This window comes from Homo sapiens, chromosome 11, assembly GCF_000001405.40.
Source record: "Homo sapiens chromosome 11, GRCh38.p14 Primary Assembly".
Taxonomy (NCBI): Eukaryota; Metazoa; Chordata; class Mammalia; order Primates; family Hominidae; genus Homo; species Homo sapiens.
The window spans coordinates 4,252,002-4,277,340 of record NC_000011.10 but is presented as its reverse complement, the minus strand read 5'-3'; positions in this window follow the sequence as shown (position 1 = coordinate 4,277,340).

The following is a 25,339-nucleotide window of genomic DNA, read 5'->3' as shown; positions in this document are numbered from 1 at the left end:
ATAGCTCACATTTATTTCAATATAAATCAGATCAGAGACATCACTTTTGTCCTTGATGCAGGGACAAAATCTATCTATAAAGGAACATATTGTATTTTTCTATGTCCCTCTTAAGGTGATTCTTACATGGCAAATACAGCAGGTTGTCAAAGAACATCTTTTTTTTTTTTTTTCTTTTTTGAGACACAGTTTTGCTCTGTCACCCTGGCTGGAGTGCAGTGGTGCCATCATGGCTCACTGCAGCCTCAAACTCCTGGGCTCAATCAATCCTCCCACCTCAGCCTCCTGAGTAGCTGGAACTACAGGTGTGTACCACCATGCCTGGCTAATTTTTTTTTTTTTTTTTTGTAGAGGGTGGGGTTTCACCATGTTACCCAGGCTGGTCTCAAATTCCTGGGCTCAAGTGATCCACCCGCTTTGGTCTCCCAAAGTGCTGGGATTACAGGCATGAGCCACTGTGTCCAGCCTCAAATAATATCATTTTATTATAATATTAACTTAAAAAATTGACTTCTGGCAGGCCAATGTCTGCGTGGGGTTTGCATATTCTCCCCATGTCTTTGTGGTTTTTCTCTGGATACTCTTGTTTCCTCCCACATCCCAAAGATGTGCACATTAGATGAACTGACACCTCTATGGTCCCAGTATGGGGGTGTGCCCTGAGCCCCGGATGGGGTCCTGTCTAGCGTTGATTCCTGCCTCACACCTTGAGCTGCCGATAGGTTCCAGCCACCTGCCACTCTGAACTGGAATCAGCAGGTTGGAAAATGAAGGAATGAATACAAATTATTGAAAAATAAAAATTCATAAAACGTGGTAATCATACAAATGCAAGACAATAACGATGAAAGTACAAGATAGATCAGCCAGCCTGCCGTGTCTGTCATTATTGATTTTTTAACTGTGTAGTAGTAGGAGGTGCTCCTTACAATTTTTTCTCTGCAAGCATTTATTCCTTGATTTAACTTACCACAACTACGACCGCCATCACTCACTGACTCACCAAAAATTGGGTGAATAATAATCTTACTAGGTTTTATTAGGCTTTCTTAATTGTATGTGCAGCTCACATTTATTTCTAAGTTTAATACTCTAAGTGTGTTGAATCTTTATTTAGACGTTTGGTGATGTTTTTGTGACTCTTGTTCATATCAATTAGCCTATGATAAAATTAATTTTATTATACAGCATTTCACTTGAAGTCATCGTTTTGGGCGCGGTGGCTCATGCCTGTAATCCCAGCACTTTGGGAGGCTGAGGCGGGTGGATCACCTGAGGTCCAGAGTTCGAGACCAGTCTGGCCAACATGGTGAAAGCCTGTCTCTACTAAAGAAATACAAAAGATGTTCCGGGCATGGTGGCGGATGCCTGTAATTCTGGCTACTCTGGAGGGCTGAGGCAGGAGAATTGTTTGAATCCGGGAGGCGGAGGTTGCAGTGAGCAGAGATCATGCCATTGCACTCCAGCCTGGGCGAGAAGAGTGAAACTCCGTTTCCAAAAAAACAAACAAACAAACAAAAAAATTAGTAAACACCTGAAAGTTTCTCAAAGTGTGTTCCCAGACTAGCAGCATTAGCATTAATTGGGAACTTGTAAAAATGAAAATTTAGACCGCAAACCACTGAATCACAAACTCTAGTGGTGAAGCCCAGAGATTTGTGTTCTTTCCTTTACATTTCCATGAATTGTTGTTCAGGTTCACATAAGTGATAATGTTTGGAAAATCTTCTCTCAAGTAGGTTTCTCTGTGGGGGACACAGGAGATAAACTGAATTGCTGTGTTTCTTTCCTTCACCCTGACAGAGGGGCCACATCTTGGCTGGGTATAGGATTGTTGGGCTGTAGTCCTTTCTCTCAGTAGTCCTTAACTGCTATGCCACTGTCCGTTCCAGCGTTGGAGATAAAAAGTCTAATTCCAGCATCATTCTTCTCCTGTAGATAATATGCTCTTTTTTTAAAATATATATATATATTTATTATAGTTGAGTTCTAGGGTGCATGTGCACAGCGTGCAGGTTTGTTACACATGTATACATGTGCCATGTTGGTGTGCTGCACCCGTTAACTCGTCATTTACATTAGGTATATCTCCTGATGCTTTCCCTCTGCACCCCCCACCCGCCCCACAACAGGCCCCGGTGTGTGATGTTCCCCTTCCTGTGTCCAAGTGTTCTCATTGTTCAATTCCCACCTATGAGTGAGAACCTGTGGTGTTTGGTTTTTTGTTCTTGCGATAGTTTGCATGATGGAACTAGAAATACCATTTGACCCAGCCATCCCATTACTGGGTATATACCCAAAGGATTATAAATCAGGCTTCTGTAAAGGCACATGCACACGTATGTTTATTGCTACTCACAATAGCAAAGACTTGGAACCAACCCAGATGTCCATCAATGATAGACTGGATGAAGAAAATGTGGCTCATATACAGCATGGAATACTATGCAGCCATAAAAAAGGATGAGTTCATGTCCTTTATAGGGACATGGATGAAGCTGGAAATATGTTCTTTTTAAGTGGATGTTTGTAAGATTTTTCTCTTTCTCCTTAGAGTTCAAAATTTTTACTAGCAGATGCCTCAGTGTTTCTTATTTCTCTTCACTCTAGTCCAGTATTTCTCCATTGTTTCATCGATCCCCAGTTATGGAGCCTTTTTAGACACTTTTTTCTAATTGCCGTCTCATAAAATTGTAATAGTAATCCCAGCTACTTGGGAGGCTGAGGCATGAGAATTGCTTGAGCCTGGGGAGGTGGACTTTGCAGTGAGTTGAGACCATGCCACTGCACTCCAGCCTGGGTGACAGAGGCAGACTGTGTCTCTAAAATAAATAATAAAAAGGTCTATTAGATCCATTTGGTTCAATATTGAGTTTAGGTCCTGAATATCTTTGCTCTTTTTCTGCCTTGATGATCTATCTAATCCTGTCAGTGGAGTGTTGAAGTCTCCCACTGTTTTTGTGTGGGATTCTAAGTCTCTTTGTAGGTTTCTAAGAACTTGCATTATGAATCTGGGTGCTCCTGTGTTGAGTGCATATATATTTAGGATAGTTAGGTCTTCAGGTTGAATTGAACCCTTTACTATTATGTAATGCCCTTCTCCATTCTCAGGAGATGAGCGTGGTGCAGAAGTTCAGGGATCCAGGAAATAATGAAGTATAATAGATAAACAACTTGTAGCATGTCTGTATTTATTCAGTGCCTGACTGAGAATCTAGCACATAGGAAGTACACATAATCATTCTTTCCCTGCCTCTCAGGTTCCATTCTCCCCATCTCTAAATTCAGTTTCCAGAGTAGGAAGATTTACTCCCATTTTGGTTCCTGCAGTAGCCTCTAAGTAATGGCTGAAATTGTTTCAAAAATAAAATTATGCGACAAGAGCCCAATAGAGGCTCCTTAGGATGTGCCTGCTGTGGACAGCAACTACCACCAGGTCAGCCTGTGATCACACAAGCACTATGAAAATATACAATACCCCGAAGAAATTCGCCCTTCTGAAGGAGGTGGAATAAATCAAAACAGATATGAAAATGCCATTGGAGGTTGAAGGCCAAGAGTGTGCACCACTATGCTGACAAAGTAACAGCCAGAAGAAAAGATCAAATGAAGCAATGTAAATCTTAAATAGAAAAGAGAAGCCTGAAGAGGACCTGCTAAGCTAAGGATGGCCATTTGGTACTTTGAGAATAAAAGGATTTTGCTTCTGGGAGGCAAAGAAGAGAGGATAAAGAGCTCAATGACTGGAGCCTGACCTATGGGTGAAATTGTGGGTACCTGAGTAGTTGCTTATCTACTCAACCTAATCTAGACAACTTCTCAAATGCCTCATGAATGTTCTCCTGTCTCGGTCCAGGTATCTTCAGCATCTCAGAGAATTAACTTCCATTGCCCTTCTTTGTGTTTGTGAGATAATTACCCTTATTCAGGGTATTTTAAAAAATCATCTCTCCGGCCGGGTGTGGTGGCTCACGCCTGTAATCCCAGCACTTTGGGAGGCCGAGGCGGGCGGATCAGGAGGTCAGGAGATCCAGACCATCCTGGCTAACACGGTGTAACCCCGTCTCTACTAATAATACAAAAAATTAGCCGGGCGTGGTGGCGGGCGCCTGTAGTCCCAGCTACTCGGGAGGCTGAGGCAGGAGAATGGCGTGAACCCAGGAGGTGGAGCTTGCAGTGAGCCAAGATTGTGCCACTGCACTCCAGCCTGGGCGACAGAGCGAGGCTCCCTCTCAAAAAAAAAAAAAAATCATCTCTCCAATGTGTCAGCAATGTGCCTGTGAGAACGTTCACCTCATAAATGATTTCTTCTCTCTGATTTCACAAAAAGTCTGATTATCAGAGGACCTATCTCAGGAATAGGAGTATGTTAGATCACCTGGCAATGTTTCCCCTAACTGATTTAAGACTTTCTGAGGTCTGAGAATTATAGTTTTTCTTTGTGTTTTTCCAGATCTCAGTACATCACAGCACAGTGCAACTCCTCAAAATGTTTAACAAAACAACCAAATGACAAAATATTGGATGAGTGTGAAGTATCAGGGCAGGGTAGCCGTAAATAAGTCCCTTTAATACCTTGGATATTTACAGTAGTCAGGATCAGAGCCAATGTAGAACCTTCTTTGGAGGGGCTCCGGGGTCAGAGTTCTTTGGCACACTGAGAGGTAAAAAGGGACCCCATGCCCAGAGTCTCCTCATTCTGCCATCCCAGACAGCATTTTCCATTCTACTGGCATAGCCCATATTTATGACTGTGGTTTGGTGGTGTGCTGGTAACCCAGCTAAAATACACACACAAAGATCAGTCAATCAATTAAAGCCCTGCATTGTAGTGTTTGCCAGTTTTGGCAGTGTATGTACTCCCACCAAGGTCATTTTCAAGGTATCAACGTGACATCACTGAATGTGAAGTTTGCAAGGAATATGCACAGATGAGCCAGTACAAGTGGCTCCACCCCACACTGCTTTAGTCTCTCCAACTCTGTCTACCCAAGTCCAGACAATAGTACTAGTGCTTTCAGCCACCTACTTTAGGTCCCATAACATCTAGTCTAGATGGGGCCTTTCCTATCTAGACTGTAATTTTACTCACAGCAATAAAAAAAATCACTTACCTGTTTTAAATGGAGTTCTCTTGGGCTAGAATGGGGTGAGTGACAACAAGGCTGTCAGAATGATGGGTGACAGGGAACTGAGATTTTATGTGTTGGCCTGAAAGCCTGAGGGGCTGCTATTATTCCAGGGAGCCCAAATATAGAACCATCTTTTCAACATCTCCTCAATTCCGTACATGTTGGCCAAGTCATTATGGCTCTCCAAGCCTGCCTAGTCCACCTTTTTCTCTAAATCTCCATCCCTTCTTATGTATGCTCATGTACTTATTCCTAACAAAAGAGTGTTAGCATTGCTACAACAATTATTCCTGTTTCCATTTTATGGGATCTGGGATTAATTTTCTTTTGAAAATTTTACATATTTTAATTTTTTTTGTAGAGATGGGGTGTCCCTATGTTGCCCAGGCTGGTCTTAATTTCCTGGCCTCAAGTGATCCTCTCATCTTGGCTTTCCAAAATGCTGGGATTACAGGCATGAGCCACCATGCCCGGCCTGAAAATCATATTAATTACTTAAGAAACACTTTTTATCAAAAGTGTTTCTTTGGAACTTGAATTAAGTTTATAACATTTTCAAAAAAGCCATTTAAACTTTTGTATTTGTAATAATAATATTTTAAATATTTACATGGGAATACCTAAATATCACTTAAAAATCAATTTTCCCTACTTCTGTAAGTCAAGGTCAACTATGAAAAACATTCTGTACCCTCTTTTTCTTTGGCCACCAAATAATCCACGTTTAATTTTCAGTTATCTTATTCACTAATCTTCTTCCTGCTGATAAACTTATCTCTTTCTTTATGTATCCTTTTCATATCTTTTTATTTAATTAGTCCAAGTAACTGTATATATACATATTTGTAAAGGAGAAACAGTTTTATGTTTAAGAAATATCTTTTTGTTTGTCACAGAATATTTCTCAGTTCCAGGGACATGTTTAGTGGTAATAATAGTAATTGGGTGCTAATGATTTGGCTGGTGGGGACTCTGACCATCTCTGGTCTTGGTTGAACTGCGAGCAGAGGCTAGAAAACTGTTTACCGTGAAGAGCTTTTAGAGGCCTTCTGCTGGATTTTGAATTTGACCCACCAAGTGAATTTAGTTGAGGGATAAATAGGAGGATGGTCTTTCTTGGAGCTGAACGGTTTTTCTAAACATTCTGCTAGTACTGCATGACCCATTGGCATGACTGTTAAAGTGCCCCACATCTGCTTAGCATCCTCCAAGATCCTTTGGGTGTGTTCCACAAGATCCTTTGGCTCTTGTAAATAATTAGCACTCCCAAGAGTGCCCTGTGGGACCCTCAGGTTTTTTGCCATTCCAGAACTGCCTTGTTTTCAACTGACCAACTTGCTCGCTGGGCCATGTCTCTTTCTCTGATCACATTCAAATGTTAAGCTCCGCTAAAATTTAGATTTTTTTTGAGACAGGGTCTTGCTCTGTCACCCAGGCTAGAGTGCACTGGCGCGATCTCAGCTCTTGGCTTACTGCAACCTCCACCACTGCCCCTGCCACCCCTCCTGCTTTCAAGTGATCCTCCCACCTCAGCCTCCAGAGTGGCTGGGACTGCAGGCGTGTACCACCATGCCCAGCCAAGTTGTTTTGTGTTTTTAGTAGAGATGGGGCTCACCATGTTGCCCAGGCTAGTCTTGAACTCCTGAGTGCAAGCAATCTGCCTGCCTTGGCCTCCTGAAGTGCTGGGATAACACACGAGAGTCATTGTGCCCAGCCATAAAATTTAGATATTTTATGCTTTGTTTTAGTGTTATGATAAATAAAATTGTTTGTAATGGTATTTTAAATTATTTGCTGGTTTTATATAAAGCATAATTTATTTTTGTATTTTAAACTTGGTGTCCCTGACCTTGCTAAATCCATTTATTTATCCCAAGTGTCGTGTAGATTCTTAGGATTTTTTTTTTTTACATACGCAGCCATGTCATCTCTTAATAAATACAGGTTTACATCCTCCTCTCTGACCTGAATATCTTTTATTTAGGTGTTATTATTTGATTTTTGCTTTTTTTTTTCTACAGTTTACTTGTGCATACACTGACCGAAGGACATCTTGATTGCCAATTTTGGCAATTATGAATAAAGCTGCTATAAATATCTGTCTGCAGGTTTTTGTGTGGACATACATTTTTAACTCATTTGGGCAAATACCCAGGAGCATGATTCCTGGATTGTATGGTAAGAGTATGCTTAGTTTTGTAAGAAACTGCCAAGCTGCCTTCTTAAGTGGCTGTACCATTTTGCATTCCCATCAGCAGTGAATGAGAGCTCCTGCTGTTCCACATCCTCCCCAGCATGTACTGTTGTCAGTGTTTTGGATTTTCACCATTCTAATAGGTATGTAGTGGTATCTCATGTTGTGTAAATTTGTAATTCTCCAATGACATGTTGTTGACTACCTTTTCATATGCTTCTTTGCCATCTGTGTATCTTCTTTGATGAGATGTCTGTCCAGATCTTTTGCCTTTTTAATTTTTTTGAGACAGTCTCTGTCACCCAGGCTGAAGTGCAGTGCCCACAGAGAGAACTGCCACAGGGGCAGAGTCACACAGAGAGGGTAATGCATAGTGGAGCCACCTCACAGTTCCACTTGGGTCATGCCCAAGAGAACTGTAGGGCTGGGCTGCTCCCAACACTCCAGACCTGTAGAATCACCAACGTGCAACTCTAGCTCGAGAGAGCCACAGGCACTGAACTCCAACCTGTGAAAGCTGCAGCATGGGCTGCATCCGGCAAAGACATGGAGGTCGGGTCCCCTGAAGCCTTGGGACCCAACCGCCACCCCAGTGTGTCTGGAAGGCAGGGCATGGAGTCAAAAATTATTCTCAAGCTTAAAGTTTTAATGTTATTTACCTTGTTTGGATTTGGGCTTACTTGGGACCCATTACCCCCCTTTTTTTTCTTGGCTATTTCTCCCTTTTGGAATGAAAGTGTCTAGTCTATGCTTGTCTCACCATTGTATTTTGGAAACACATAACTTATTTGATTTCACAGGCTCACAGCTGGAGAGAAATTTGCCTCAGGATGAATTGTACCTTGGGTCTCACTCATATGTGATTTAGATGAGACTCTAGACCTTAGAATTTTGAATTGGTACTGGAATGAGTTATAACTTTTTGGGGCTATTAAGATGGAATGAATGTATTTTGTGTGTGAGAAGGAAATGAATTTGGTGGGCTAAGGATGGAAAGTTATGGTCTGAAGATATTCCCCAAAATTCATATGTTAAAACTCAACCACCAATGTGATAATAATAAGAGGCAAGGCTTTTAGGAAGTGATTAAGTCGTGAGAGCAGAGCCTTCCTACATGGAATTAGTGAACTTATTAAAGGGCTGGAGGGAACTAGCCTAGGCCCTTTTTGCTCTTCTGTTTCTTTTGTCTTGTGAAGATACAGTGTTCAAGGTGGCATCTTGGAAGAACAGACTAGGCCCTCACCAGATGCCAAACCTGCAAGCACCTTGATTTTGCACGTTCCAGGCTCAAAAACTGTGAGGAATAAGTTTCTATTATTTATAAATTGTCCAGTCTCAGGCATTTTGTTATAACAGTAGAAATAGACTAAGAGAGTAACACTAGAGGCCATTAAACATGTGGTTTATTCAGGATCATTATAACAACAACAAAGCCTAAACCATCTCAACTCCTGACTAGATTGATCAATACCCATGCTGAATGCCTAGCAAAAGACAAGGTCTTCTTTTTCTTTTTTTATTATACTTTAAGATTCAGGGTACATGTGCACAACGTGCAGGTTTGTTACATATGTGTACATGTGCCGTGTTGGTGTGCTGCACCCAGTAACTGGTCATTTAACATTAGGTATATCTCCTAATGCTATCCCTCCCCTCTCCACCCTCCCCACACTCCAAAACAGGCCCCGGTGTGTGATGTTCCCCTTCCTGTGTCCACGTATTCTCATTGTTCAATTCCTACCTCTGAGTGAGAACATTCGGTGTTTGGTTTTTTGTCCTTGCGATAGTTTGCTGAGAATGATGGTTTCCAGCTTCATCCATGTCCCTACAAAGGACATGAACTCATCCTTTTTTATGGCTGCATAGTATTCCATGGTGTATATGTGCCACATTTTCTTCATCCAGTCTATCATTGTTGGACATTTGGGTTGGTTCCAAGTCTTTGCTATTGTGAATAGTGCCGCAATAAACATACGTGTGCATGTGTCTTTACAGCAGCCTGATTTATAATCCTTTGGGTATATACCCAGTAATGGGATGGCTGGGTCAAATGGTATTTCTAGTTCTACATCCCTGAGGAATTGCCACACTGACTTCCACAACGGTTGCACTAGTTTACATTCCCACCAACAGTGTAAAAGTGTTCCTATTTCTCCACATCCTCTCTAGCGCCTGTTGTTTCCTGACTTTCTAATGATCGCCATTCTAACTGGTGTGAGATGGTATCTCATTGTGGTTTTGATTTGCATTTCTCTGATGGCCAGTGACAACGAGCATTTTTCCATGTGTCTGTTGGCTGCATAAATGTCTTCTTTTGAGAAGTGTCTGTTCATATCCTTTGCCCACTTTTTGATGGGGTTGTTTGTTTTTTTCTTGTAAATTTGTTGGAGTTCATTGTAGATTGTGGATATTAGCCCTTTGTCAGATGAGTAGATTGCAAAAATGTTCTCCCATTCTGTAGGTTGCCTGTTCACTCTGATGGTCGTTTCTTTTGCTGTGCAGAAGCTCTTTAGTTTAATAAGATCCCATTTGTCAATTTTGGCTTTTGTTGCCATTGCTTTTGGTGTTGGCCTTGCCCATGCCTATGTCCTGAATGGTATTGCCTAGGTTTTCTTCTATGGTTTTAGGTCTAACATTTAAGTCTTTAATCCATCTTGAATTAATTTTTGTATAAGGTGTAAGGAAGGGATCTAGTTTCAGCTTTCTACATATGGCTAGCCAGTTTTCCCAGCACCATTGATTAAATAGGGAATCCTTTCCCCATTGCTTGTTTTTCTCAGGTTTGTCAAAGATCAGATGGTTGTAGATATGCAGCATTACTTCTGAGGGCTTTGTTCTGTTCCATTGGTCTAGATCTCTGTTTTGGTACCAGTACCATACTGTTTTGGTTACTGTAGCCTTGTAGTATAGTTTGAAGTCAGGTAGCGTGATGCCTCCAGCTTTGTTCTTTTGGCTTAGGTTTGACTTGGCGATGCGGGCTCTTTTTTGGTTCCATATGAACTTTAAAGTAGTTTTTTCCAATTCTGTGAAGAAAGTCATTGGTAGCTTGATGGGGATGGCATTGAATGTATAAATTACCTTGGGCAGTATGGCCATTTTCACGATATTGATTCTTCCTACCCATGATCATGGAATGTTCTTCCATTTGTTTGTGTCCTCTTTTATTTCCTTGAGCAGTGGTTTGTAGTTCTCCTTGAAGAGGTCCTTCACATCCCTTGTAAGTTGGATTCCTAGGTATTTTATTCTCTTTGAAGAAATTGTGAATGGAGTTCACTCATGATTTGGCTCTCTGTTTGTCTGTTATTGGTGTATAAGAATGCTTGTGATTTTTGCACATTGATTTTGTATCCTGAGACTTTGCTGAAGTTGCCTATCAGCTTGAGGAGATTTTGGGCTGAGACAATGGGGTTTTCTAGATATACAATCATGTCGTCTGCAAACAGGGACAATTTGACTTCCTCTTTTCCTAATTGAATACCCTTTACTTCCTTCTCCTGCCTGATTTCCCTGGCCAGAACTTCCAACACTATGTTGAATAGGAGTGGTGAGAGAGGGCATCCCTGTCTTGTGCCAGTTTTCAAAGGGAATGCTTCCAGTCTTTGCCCATTCAGTATGACATTCGCTGTGGGCTTGTCATAGATAGCTCTTATTATTTTGAGATACGTCCCATCAATACCTAATTGATTGAGAGTTTTTATCATGAAGAGTTGTTGAATTTTGTCAAAGGCCTTTTCTGCATCTATTGAGATAATCATGTGGTTTTTGTCTTTGGTTCTGTTTCTATGCTGGATTATGTTTATTGATTTGCGTATGTTGAACCAGCCTTGCATTGCAGGGATGAAGCCCACTTGATCATGGCGGCTGAGCTTTTTGATATGCTGCTTGATTCAGTTTGCCAGTATTTTATTGAGGATTTTCACGTTGATGTTCATCAGGGATGTTGGTCTAAAATTCTCTTTTTTTGTCGTGTCTCTGCCAGGCTTTGGTAGCACGATGATGCTGGCCTCATCAAATGAGTTAGGGAGGATTCCCTCTTTTTCTATTGATTGGAATAATTTCAGAAGGAATGGTACCAGCTCCTCTTTGTACCTCTCGTAGAATTCGGCTGTGAATCCATCTGGTCCTGGATTTTTTTTTTGATTGGTAAGCTATTAATTATTGCCTCAATTTCAGAGCCTGTTATTGGTCTATTCAGAGATTCAACTTCTTCCTGGTTTAGTCTTGGGCGGGTGTATGTGTCGAGGAATTTATCCATTCCTTCTAGATTTTCTAGTTTATTTGCATAGAGGTGTTTACAGCATTCTCTGATGGTAGTTTGTATTTCTGTGAGATCAGTGGTGATATGCCCTTTATCATTTTTTATTGCATCTATTTGATTCTTCTCTCTTTTCTTCTTTATTAGTCTTGCTAGCAGTCTATCAATTGTGTTGATCTTTTCAAAAAACCAGCTCCTGGATTCATTGATTTTTTGAAGGGTTTTTTTGTGTCTCTGTTTCCTTCAGTTCTGCTCTGATCTTAGTTATTTCTTGCCTTCTGCTAGCTTTTGAATGTGTTTGCTCTTGCTTCTCTAGTTCTTTTCATTGTGATGTTAGCGTGTCAATTTTAGATCGTTCCTGCTTTCTCTTGTGGACATTTAGTGCTATAAATTTCCCTCTACACACTGCTTTGAATGTGTCCCAGAGATTCTGGTATGTTGTGTCTTTGTTCTCATTGGTTTCGAAGAACATCTTTATTTCTGCCTTCGTTTCGTTATGTACCCAGTAGTCACTCAGGAGCAGGTTGTTCAGTTTCCATGTAGTTGAGCGGTTTTGAGTGAGTTTCTTAATCCTGAGTTCTAGTTTGATTGCACTGTGGTCTGAGAGACAGTTTGTTATAATTTCTGTTCTTTTACATTTGCTGAGGAGTGCTTTACTTCCAAGTATGTGGTCAATTTTGGAATAAGTGCAGTGTGGTGCTGAGAAAAATGTATATTCTGTTGATTTGGGGTGGAGAGTTCTGTAGATGTCTATTAGGTCCACTTGGTGCAGAGCTGAGTTCAATTCCTGGATATCCTTGTTAACTTTCTGTCTCATTGATCTGTCTAATGTTGACAGTGGGGTGTTAAAGTCTCCCATTATTATTGTGTGGGAGTCTAAGTCTCTTTATAGGTCTCTAAGGACTTGCTTTATGAATCTGGGTCCTCCTGTATTGGGTGCATATATATTTAGGATAGTTAGCTCTTCTTGTTGAATTGATCCCTTTACCATTATGTAATGGTCTTCTTTGTCTCTTTTGATCTTTGTTGGTTTAAAGTCTGTTTTATCAGAGACTAAGATTGCAACACCTGCATTTTTTTGTTTTCCATTTGCTTGGTAGATCTTCCTCCATCCCTTTATTTTGAGCCTATATGTGTCTCTGCATGTGAGATGGGTTTCCTGAATACAGCACACGGATGGCTCTTGACTCTTTATCCAATTTGCCAGTCTGTGTCTTTTAATTGGAGCATTTAGCCCATTTATTTTTAGGGTTAATATTGTTATGTGTGAATTTGATCCTGTCGTTATGATGTTAGCTGGTTATTTTGCTCATTAGTTGATGCAGTTTCTTCCTAATCTCAATGGTCTTTACAATTTGGCATGTTTTTGCAGTGGCTGGTACCGGTTTTTCCTTTCCATGTTTAGTGCTTCCTTCAGGAGCTCTTTTAGGGCAGGCCTGGTGGTGACAAAATCTCTCAGCGTTTGCTTGTCTGTAAAGTATTTTATTTCTCCTTCACTTATGAAGCTTAGTTTGGCTGGATATGAAATTCTGGTTTGAAAATTCTTTTCTTTAAGAATGTTGAATATTGGCCCCCACTCTCTTCTGGCTTGTAGAGTTTCTGCTGAGAGATCAGCTGTTAGTCTGATGGGCTTCCCTTCGTTGGTAACCCGACCTTTCTCTCTAGCTGCCCTTAACATTTTTTCCTTCATTTCAACTTTGGTGAATCTGACAATTATGTGTCTTGGAGTTACTCTTCTCGAGGAGTATCTTTGTGCCATTCTCTGTATTTCCTGAATTTGAATGTTGGGCTGCCTTGCTAGATTGGGGAAGTTCTTCTGGATAATATCCTGTCGAATGTTTTCCAACTTGGTTCCATTCTCCCCGTCACGTTCGGATACACCAAATAGACATACATTTGCTCTTTTCACATAGTCCCATATTTCTTGGATGCTTTGTTGATTTCTTTTTATTCCTTTTTCTCTAAACTTCTCTTCTCACTTCATTTCTTTCATTGGATCTTCCATCACTGATACACTTTCTTCCAGTTGATCGAATCAGCTACTGAGGCTTGTGCATTTGTCATGTAGTTCTCGTGCCTTGGTTTTCAGCTCCATCAGGTCCTTTACAGACTTCTCTGCATTGGTTATTCTGACCTAAAATCATAAAAACCCTAGAAGAAAACCTAGGCAATACCATTCAGGACATAGGCATGGGCAAGGACTTCATGTTTAAAACATGATTTTAAAGAATATCAGAAATTTCCAGACGTTTTTATTTCTATCAATCCTGTTAGAGTGAATTTAGTCATTTCTATGATTTTTAACAGCCTACAATTTCAATCAACAATTTCGTTGCTTCTCCTGAAGAGAGTATAGTGGTATGTGATGTATTTTATGTCATAGAGCTTTTTTATACATGGGAAATAAGAGTGCAATTTGTGGTTTTATATTGTCAATGATCATTTTTCTCTCCTCCTCTTGTTTTAACCTCTCAGGAGCATTTGAAGATACTTTACTGTTCTGTCCTTGAATTATCTTCTCAGCTTTTATAGTATCAACTTGCTCCTATACCTCCCCAACAATTTTCCAAGATTCAATCAGAAAAAAATCCATAAATCCTATCTTCAAATCTTAACATTTGCATACTTGACCCTACATGATTAGATTTCTATTCACCTCATCTACTTTATCTTCTGCTTCACCTCCACAAATACTCTGCTACAACCATTTCTATTCTTTGAACTCCTTCATCTAATTTTAGAAGTCGGCTTTTTGAAATTTCTTTTTCCTGTGCCCCAAATACTCTCACTGCCTATTTTTCTATGGCTTACTGCTTATTAGGTAAGTTTCAGTCCATATATCCTGTTCTCAGTGAAAAGTTCTCTGGCTAGCCAATTTTGAGTACATATACCTAAATAGGGAATGAAAGATTTTCAAGCCAAAATTCATAAAAGAACGACATCACAGGCCAACCTTTGATGAATGGGGGAGTTTAGCCACCCATTCTCAGATCAGGCAGCTGGGTTCTAAAATAAGATTTCAGTATTTATGTTAATCTCTTTAGAGATACCCCTGCTTTATTTTAACCTTATTAAAATGTTGATTATTTTGCCTAAAACTAATCTGTACCCTAAATCCTATAATAACTAAATCTTTTCATTTGTTTGTTGAGACACCCCATTGTTCCTCTGGTCTCCCTCTTTGCAATTAGTTAAAAAACAAAAACAAAAACCAAGACAACCCTGAATTTGTTGGATGACAAGCTTCTGTCTAAAGTCATAGATTGATTGGGCTGGGAGAGTGTCATTGATATCTAACCTACTCCATTCAGGATTCTACTCATGCTGAATTTTTTTTTGAAAGCTAAACATTGCCTTGGGTACTTTAATCATGTACTTCTAGCTCTTGGAAGAAGGGTATCATTTTTGCAGAAATAACACCTCATTAAGAAAATTCTGCATTAAGAAATTATAATTTTCATTATACAAAAATTTATGATTTAAATTATAACTCGCACTGGCATCTTTAATTTGACAATTTTTTATTTAATTATTTTTAGTATAGTTGACAAGCAAAAATGATCCTAGTTTTCATAACATGTATTTACAATTTGTATATATTCTACCTGGCCAAGAGCATGTCAAATGTAAATAAGAAAACTTTAAGAATCTATCCCATATAAAAAAGTAACATAGAGCACATACAAAAATTTATGAATAATCATGTTTATGACAAGTTTATTGATACTGGCAAATCATCTCAAATAAATATTCAATAAGAATCTATAGGTTGGCTAAAATGATATATTTTGTAATATATTGTTTATGTGAAAATCTGTTAGGCAGTATTAAATAAAGTTAAATAAATATGTGAAGTTCATTTTGTACCAAAGGAAATTCTTGTCATGTAACATTAAGTAAAAATATACTAATCATTATACAACATAGAAATACATGAAAATATGATTAAATAATGAAATGTTTTCAATATTAACAATTATTTTTATGAGTGTAATTGTTGGTAATTATAATATTATTACATTATATTTTTAAATAACATATTGTTGAAATATTACATATATCAATTTAAAATCTAAAATAAATGGAATAAAGACAGAGTAAGTAATAGACTTATATTAGAATCAGAACAATTCCTGAAGTTAAAAAGAGAAGGGAAACACCCAGAGAAAATGTTTGGTGACTTGACTACATAAAATGTAGGTCCTCCTATATAACTAGAATTAAGGAACAGATAAAATAAGGAAATTCTTGTAAAAAAGATTACTTTTTGGACAATCTGTAAAATGTGAAATACAGTAGATGTTAAATATGAAAAAGTTACACTGGTAACTAAATTGTTGTAATTTGCAGCTAGTTAAAATATGTTTCAAGTATGATAAATACTTGTTAGAAATATGGGTAAAATAATAGGGTATAAATTATTGAAATAAAAATGTTTGATTTCCAAATGCATTTAAAAGTTCAAGTAAGAGATAAACAGAATGTACCATAAACACAAGAGTAAAAAAGGAAATTCTTTGTACATTTAAATATTTTCCAAATAGTCTACAATGAAAATTTCATACTTTTGCTTCTTAAAATGAAAAATTATTTTCTTGATTTAGTAACTATTATGTTAGTAATGATAGTAGATGCAATAGATACTAGGGAAACAACAAACATTCACACACACAAATGCTCATACACATGAAAAACATATAACAGTATACATTAAAATTTATCAACAATGGATATCTAAGAACATCAAGAATTGGTAACCTTTATAATCATTTTATTTCCATTATTCTGTATTGGCTATTCTTAAAGAGTCACCATGATTTATTCAAGTAAATAAATTTTTTCTTATTTTATTATACAAAGTTTCAAATATACAGAAAATTAAAAAAAATTATGATGACCAATTATATAGTCAACCACCAAGATTCTTTCATTAAATTTTAACTCTACTTGCTTTATCATATGATCGTTCCTTGATGTCTGATGAGGTTACGTCCCAATAAAGTAATCATAAGTTGAAGATATTTAAAGTAAAAATGTATTTAATATACATAATCTATGTCATATTAAATCCAAGCAAGATTACCCCAATATGAATTATAATCACACTGTCAAAGTTCAAAAATAAAGATTCTGAAAGTGGCAGGGGAAGGAAACAAATAACTGATGAAAGAAATTGAAGAGGATACCCAAAAAAATGGAAAGATATTCCACGTTCATGGATTGGAAGAGCCAATATTGTTAAAATGTCCATACTACCCGAAGCAACCTACAGATTCAATGCAATCACTATCAAAATATCAATGGCATTCTTCACACAAATAAAAAAAATCCTAAAATGTATACGGAACCACAAAAGACCCAGAATAGCCAAAGCCATCCTAAGCAAAATGAACGAAACTGGGAGAGCCACATTACCTGACTTCAAATCATACTACAGAGCTATAGTAACCCAAACAGCATGGTATTGTCATGAAAACAGACACATAGACCAATGGAACAGAATGAAGAACACAGAAACAAATCCACACACCTACAGTAAACTCATTTTTGACAAAGGTGCCAGGAACATACACTGGGGAAAAGGCAGTCTCTTTAACAGATGGTGCTAGGGAAACTAGATATCCACATGCAAAAAAAAAGAAAGAAAAAAGAAACTAGGCTGTATCACTGAATCTCTCACCATATACAAAAATCAAATCAAAATGGACTAAAGCGTTAAGTCTAATACTTCAAGCTAAGAAAGTACTACAAGAAAACATTGGGGAAACTCTCCCAGGCAATGGTCTGGGCAAAAATTTCTTGAGCAATACCCCATAAGCACAGGCAACCACAGCCAAAATGGACAAATAGGATCACATCAAGTTAAAAAACTTCTGCACAGCAAAAGAAACATTCAACTAAGTGAAGAGACAACCCACAGAATGGTAGCAAATATTTACAAAGTACCTATCTGAAAAGGGGTTCATAGCCAGAGTATACAAGGAGTTCAGACAATGCTATAGGAAAAAAGTCTAAAAATCCGATTAAAAATTAGGCAAAAGATTTGAATAGACATTTCTCAAAAGAAGACATACAAATGGCAAATGGGCTTATGAAAAGGTGCCTCCTATGAAAGCAATAGCGTTGCTCATCTGAGAAATGCAAATTAAAACTACAATGAGATACCACCTCACCCCAGTTAAAATGGCTTTTATCCAAGAGACAGGCAATAACAAATGCTGGTGAGGATGTGAAGAGAAGCAATCTCTTGTACACTGTTGGTGGGAATGCAAACTAGTATAACCACTGTGGAGAACAGTTTGGAGGTTCCTCAAAATACTGAAAAGAGAGCTACCATGGGATCCAGCAATCCTACTGCTGGGTATACACCCAAAAGAAAGGAAACCAGCATATGGAAGAGATATCTGCACTCCTATGTTTATTGCAGCACTATTCACAATAGCCAAGATTTGGAAGCAACCTAAGTGTCCATCAACAGATGAATGAATAAAGAAAATCTGGTAATGTACACAATGGATTACTATTATTCTAATATTCAGTAGTAATATTCAGCCATGCAAAGAATGAGATCCTGTTGTTTGTGACAACATGAATATAACTGGAGATCACTATGTTAACTGAAATAAAGCTTGCAAAGAAAGACAAACATTGCATGTTCTCATTTATGCTGGATCTAAAAATCAAAACAACTGAGCTCATGGACATAGAGAGTAGAAGGATGGTTACCAGAGGCTGGGAAGTGTATTGGGGGTTGGGGAGAAGGTGGGGTTGGTTAATGGATACAAAAAGTAGAATGAATAAGACCTACTCTTTGATAGCACAAAAGGATGATTACAGTTGACAATAATTTGATTGTACATTTGAAACAACTAAAAGAGTAAAAGTGAATTGTTGGTAACAAAAAAAGATAAACGCTTGAGATGTATACCTCATTCTCCATGATGTGATTATTATGCATTACATGCCTGTATCAAAACATATAATGCACCCCATAAATATATACACCGATTATTTATCCACAAAAATTAAAAATAAAAACAAAAGAAGAAACAGCACCAATATACAACCTACCATTTTACCTCAAGAAAATAGAAAAGCAAGAGCAAACGCAAAATTAGTACTCCTTTTTTTACCTATAAAACTAGACTACTTTACATTGTTTAAAGACAAACAATAGAAGAGAGACATGAAAAGAAGAGTTGATTTGTTGAAAAGATAAACAAAATTGACAAACCGGTAATTAGACTAAGAAAAAAAGAGAAAACTCAAATAAATAAAATGAGAGATGAAAAAGGAGACGTTACAACTGATATCGCAGAAATCATAGAGGATCTGAAGTCTATTATGAACAATTATACACCAAATAATTGGAAAATCGAGAAGAAATAGATAAATTCCTGGAAACATAGGACCTACCAAAATTGCATTATGAATAAATGGAAACCTGAACAGACCAATAATGTGCAAGGAGATTGAATCAATAATAAAAGGAAGCCATCAAAAAAAGCTCAGTACCGCACAGCTTAATTTTGTCAAATATTTACAGAAGATTTACTACCAATTCTTCACAAAATATTCCAAAAAACTAAAGAGGAGGGAATTATTCCCAACTAATTCTACAAGGTCGGCTGTACCCAGGCACCAAAACCAGACAAGGTCCCCAAAAAAAAGAAGAAAAACTACAGACCAATATCCCTGAGGAACATAGATACAGTCATCCTCAATAAAATGCTATCAAACTGATTTCAACAGTCTGTGGAAAAGATTGTTCACCATGATCAAGTGAGATACATCCTAGGAATGCAAGGATGGTTCAAAATATGAATATCAATAAATGTGATACATTAAATTAACAGAATGAAGGAAAAATATAATCATTTTAATAGATGCTGAAAAAGTGTTTGACAAAATTCAACACTCTTCATGATAAAAACTCTGAACAAAGTAGGTGTAGAAGGAATGCATCTCAACACAATAAAGGTCATATATGACAAACCCTCAGCTAACATTATACTCAGTGGGGAAAAGTTGAAAGCTTTTTCACTGAAATCGGCAACAAGACAAGGATGCCTAATTTCACTACTTGTATTCAACATAGTATGGAAGTCCTAGCCAGAGCAATTAGGCAAGAGAAAGAAATAGAAGGCATCCACACTGGAAAGGAAGGAGTTAATTTTTCCCTGTTTGCGAATAACATTATCTTATACGTAGAAAACTCTAAAGGCTCCACCAATAACTATTAGAACTAATATGCAAATTCAGTAAAGTTGAAGGATAAAAAATCAACAAAAAATATTAGTAGTCTTTTTATATGTTAATAGCAAACTATCTGAAAAAGAAATCAAGAAAACTATCCCATTTACAATAGCTGCAAAAATAAAATAAAATACCCAGACATAAATTTAACCAAGAAGGTGAAATATCTCTATGATGACAAAAAAACTGATTAAAGAAATTGAAGAAGACACAAAGAAATGAATATTACATATGAATAAATTGGAAAAATAAATATTGCTAAAACATTCATACTACTCAAAACTATATACAGATTCAATGCAATCACTATCAAAATACTAATGACACTTTTTTACAGAAATAGGAAAAACAATCCTAAAAGACCTATAAAACCACACAAACCCCCAAATAACCAAAGTAATTTTCACCACAAAGAACAAAGTTGAAGGCATCATATTACGGGGCTGCCAAATATGCAATAAAGCTATAGTAACCAAAACATCATGGCACTAGCATAAAAACAGATACATTGACCAATGAAACAGAAATAGAGAGCCTAGAAATAATTCCAAGCACTTAGAGACAATAGATTTTCGATCAAGTAAGTCACCAAGAACACATATTGGGAAAAGGAGTCTCTTCAGTAAGTAGGATAGGAAGAAGTAGATAGTCACATGCACAATGAAATTAGACCCTTATCTCACCTTATGTATAAAAAAGGTCAAAGAAGATTAAAGACCTAAACATAAGACCAGAAACCATGAAACTACTAGAAGAAAATATAGGGGAAAGGCTTCAGAGATTGGTGTGGGTAAGGATTTTTTTTTGGATATGACCTCAAAATCAAAGATGACAAAAAGCAAAATAGACAAATGAGATTACATTCAAAGAAAAAGATTCTGCACAGCAGAGAAAACAATCCACAAAGTGCAAACACAACCTGTAAAGTGGGAGAAAATCTTTGCAGTCTATACAACTGATATGGCATTAATATCTAAAATTTATAGGGAATCCAAACAACTTAATGACAAGAAAACAAACAACACTATTTTAAAAAGGGCAAAACACCTGAGTAAACATTTCTCAAAAGAAGACATACAAATGGCCAATAGGTCAATAGGTGTATTAAAAAATGTTAAACATCACTGATGATCAGGGAAATATAAATCAAAACCACAATGAGATATCACTTTGCACCTATCTTAAGGGCTATTATCAAAAAGACAAAAGAACAAATAGTAAGGATGTGGAGAAAAATGAACTCTTACACACTGTTGGTGGGAATGTTAATTAGTACAGACATTATGGAAAACACTCTGTAGGGTCCTTAAAATATTAAAAATAGAATTATCATATGATTCAGTAACACCACTACTGAGTATATATCCAAAGGAAATAAAATCAGTATATCAAAGAGATATCTGTGCTTCCAGGTTTATTGCAGCACTATTCACAAAGGCCAAGATATGGAATCACCCTAAGTGTCCCATCGACAGACAAAAATGGATAAAGAAAATGTGGTATGTATACACAATGGAATACTATTCAGCCAACAAAAAGAACACAATCCTGTTAGTTGCAACATGTTTGAACCTGGAGAACATTAAGTTAAATAGATAAGGCATAAAATGACAAATGTTGGATGATCTCACTCATATGTGAGTGAGAAAAAACTTGATCTCACAGAAGTAGGGAGTAGAATGTTGGTTACCAGAGGTGTGGATGGTTAAGGGAGAGGTAGGGATAGGGAGATGGTGGTCAAAGGATATGTAATTACAGTTATATAGGAGAAATGTATATAATATATTAAACATGTGTCCAGAATAGGCAATTATATAGAGTTAGAAAGTAGATAAGTAATTGCCTGGGGCTAGGGGAAGAGGGGAAGAGAATAGGTGGGAGTGGGGAGGAAGAGGAAGAATGACTGCTAATGGTTATGAAGTTTTTTATGTGATGAAAATGTTCTAAAATTGATTGTGGTGATGGTTGTGTAACTCTGTGAACATACTAAGACCATCGGATTATAGACTTTATTGATTTTTGTTATTTCTATTTTGTATTACATTTCAATAGTTTTTGGGGAACAGATGGTTTTTGGTTACATAGATAAGTTCTGCAGTGGTGATTTCTGAGATTTTGGGGCACTGGTTACCAGAGCTGCGTATACTATACCCAATGTGTAGTCTTTTATCCCTCACCTCCTCCCACCCTTCCTCCCACATCCCCAAAGTCCATTATATAATTTTCATACCTTTGCATCCTCCTAGCTTAGCTCCCACTTGTAAGTGAGAACATACAATATTTGATTTTCCACTCTTGAGTTACTTCACTTAGAACAATGGTCTCCAACTCCATCCAGGTTGCTGCAAATGCCATTATTTCATTTCTTTTTATAGCTGAGTAGTATTCCATGGTGTATATACTACATTTTCTTTTTCCACTTGTTGGTTGATGGGCATTTAGGCTGGATGATACACTTTAAATGGATGAATTGTATGATATGTAAATTATATCTTTAAAGCTGTTTAAAAGAAAAGAAAAGCCCAGGACTTGATGGTTTCACTCATGAATTCTACAAAACACTTAAAGAAGAAAGAAAACCAGTCCTTCTCAAACACTTTCAAAAAACTGAAGAGGGCAAAATTCCAAACTCATTTCATGAGGCTAGGACTATCTGATGCGAAAGACAGACAAGGACCATACAATAAAAGAAAATAACTCTGAGAGCAGTGGCTCACACCTATAATCCTGATACATTGAGAGGCTGAGGCAGGAGGACCACTTGAGCCCCGAAGTTTGAGACCAACCTAGGCAACATAGCGAGACCATGTTTCTACAAAAAATAGAAAAAGATAGCTAGACAAGGTGGTGCATGCCTGTAATCCCAGCTACTTGGGAGGCTGAGGTAAGAGGATTGCTGGAGCCCAGGAGTTGAGGCTGAAGTGAGCCATGATCACACCACTGCATTCCAGCCTGGGCAGCAGAGTGAGATACTGTCTCAAAAAAATTACACGCAAACATCCTCAACAAATATAAACATAGATGCAAAAATCCTCAACAATACTAGTAAACTGAATTCAACAGCATATAAAAATGATCATTCATCAAGATCAAGTGAGATTTATCCATAGGGTAAAGATGGTTCCACATACACGTGATATACCATATTAACAGAATGACGAACAGAAATCATATGGTCATCTCAATAGATGGAGAAAGTATTTAACAAAATTCAACATTTTTTTCCATGAAAAATGTTCTCAACAAATTACATATAGAAGGAATGCACCTCAACACAATAAAGGCCATATAAGACATACCCTCAGCTAACATCATACTCAGTGAGGAAAAGTTTAAAGCTTTTCCTCAAAGGTCAGGAACATAATAAAAATGCGCACTCTGACCACTTCTAGTCAGCATAGTACTGGAAGTCCTAGCCAGGGCAATTCAGCAGGAGAAAGAAATAAAAGGTTTCTAGATCGAAAAGGAAGCAGTTAAATTGTCCCTGGTTTGCAGATGACATGATTGTATATGAAGAAAACTTTATAGACTCCACCAAAAAACTGTTAGCACTGATAAAAATTCAGTAAATTAGCAAGATATAAAATTAACACATAAAATTAGTAGCTTTTCTATACACTAACAAGAAACTATCTAAAAAAGAAATCAAGAACACAATTTCATTTATGATAGCATTAATAAGAATAAGTTACTTAGGAATATATTTAGCCAAGGAAGTGAAAAACCTGTACACTGAAAACTAGAAAACACTGATGAAGGAAACTGAAGAAGACACAAATAAATGGGAAGATAGCCTCTGTTCATGGATTGGAAGAATTAATATTGTTAAAACATCCACACTACCCAAAGCAATCTACAGATTCAGTGTAGTCCCTATCAAAATACCAATGACATTCTCCACAGAGGTAGAAAACACAACCTTAAAATTATTATGGAACCATATAAGACCTTGAATAGCCAAAGCACTCTCAAGTAAAACATGAAAAATAAAATACAAAAACCAAAACTGGACGTATAATAATACCTGACTTCAAAATATACTACAAAATATATTATAAAGCTATAGTAATTAAAACAGCAAGGTACTAACATTAACAAAAGGACACAAAGACCAATGGAGCAGACTAAAGAACCTAGGTATAATTCCACACATTTACTGTCAATTGACTTTTGCCAAAGGTGGCAAGAACAGACAAGGGGGACAATCAGTCTCTTTAATAAATGGTATTGGGATAACTCAATATCCACAAACAAAAGAATAAAATTAGATCCTTATCTCACTCTACATACAAAAATTACGTCAAAATGGATTAAACGCTTAACTGTAAGACTAGAAACTCTAAAACAGCTAGTAGAAAACGGGGGAAAAGCTTCATGACATTGGTCTGGACAACAATTTTTTGAATAAGAATCCAAAATCATAGGCAACAATAATGAAAATTGGCAGAATTATTTAAAACTAGAAAAACTTCTGCATAGGCAGGAAATAACAGAAGAAAAAGGCAATCTATGGAATGGGAGAAAATATTTGCAAACCTTTATCTGATAAGGGGTTAATAGCCAAAATAGATAAATAATTCCAACAACCCAATAGTAGGGAATAAACTTCTTAAAAAATGGGCAAAGTACCTAAATAGGCAATTCTCAAATAAGACATACAAATGGCCCATAGGTAAATGAAGAAAAGAAAAAGGTCAACAAAATTAATCATCAGGGAAATGCAAATTAAAACCACAATGAGATATCACCTCATACATGTTAGAATGACTATTAACGAAAAGACAAAAAATAAAAAGTGTTGGAGAGAATGGGGAGAAGGGGAACCCTTGCACATTGTTGGTGGGAATGTTAGATAGTATAACTATTATGGAAAACAGTATGGACAGTCATAAAAAAATTAAAAATAGAACTATCTATGATCCAGCAATCTCACTACTGTGTATATATCCAAATATATGAAATCAGTATGTTGAAGACTCTAACTTCTAGTTCAAGTCCAAGGAACCCCTCTCATCACTCCATTTGCAGAGGAAAAACAATTCAAATATGAGCTGTCCAAGGATGCACAGCAATCGGCTTGTAGTTATAGGGGTAGGGCTTATTGAAAGAGGCTAAGCAAAAATATACTGAGAATAAATGCTGTTTTTTTTTTCCTTTGTCCACTTTTGTATGGGGTAATCATTTCTTTCTTTTTAGAATGGTAAGCTCTAGAGGATAAATATTTGGATGAAGGCCATAGGAAAAGGGGCCACAGAGGCCTGTTTAATAGAGACTTCAGGTCTGAGATACAAATGAGTCCTCCCAGCTCACAGTTGGTAGCTCAGTTCATGACATTACCTAGAGTTTGCACCAACATTCAGCTAGTATTAAAAACTTTGCTCACAACTATTGCAAGGACAGAAAACCAAACACCACATGTTCTTACTCATAGGTGGGAATTGAAAAATGAGAACACTTAGACACAGGGTGGGGAACATCACACACTGGGGCCTGTCGTGGGGT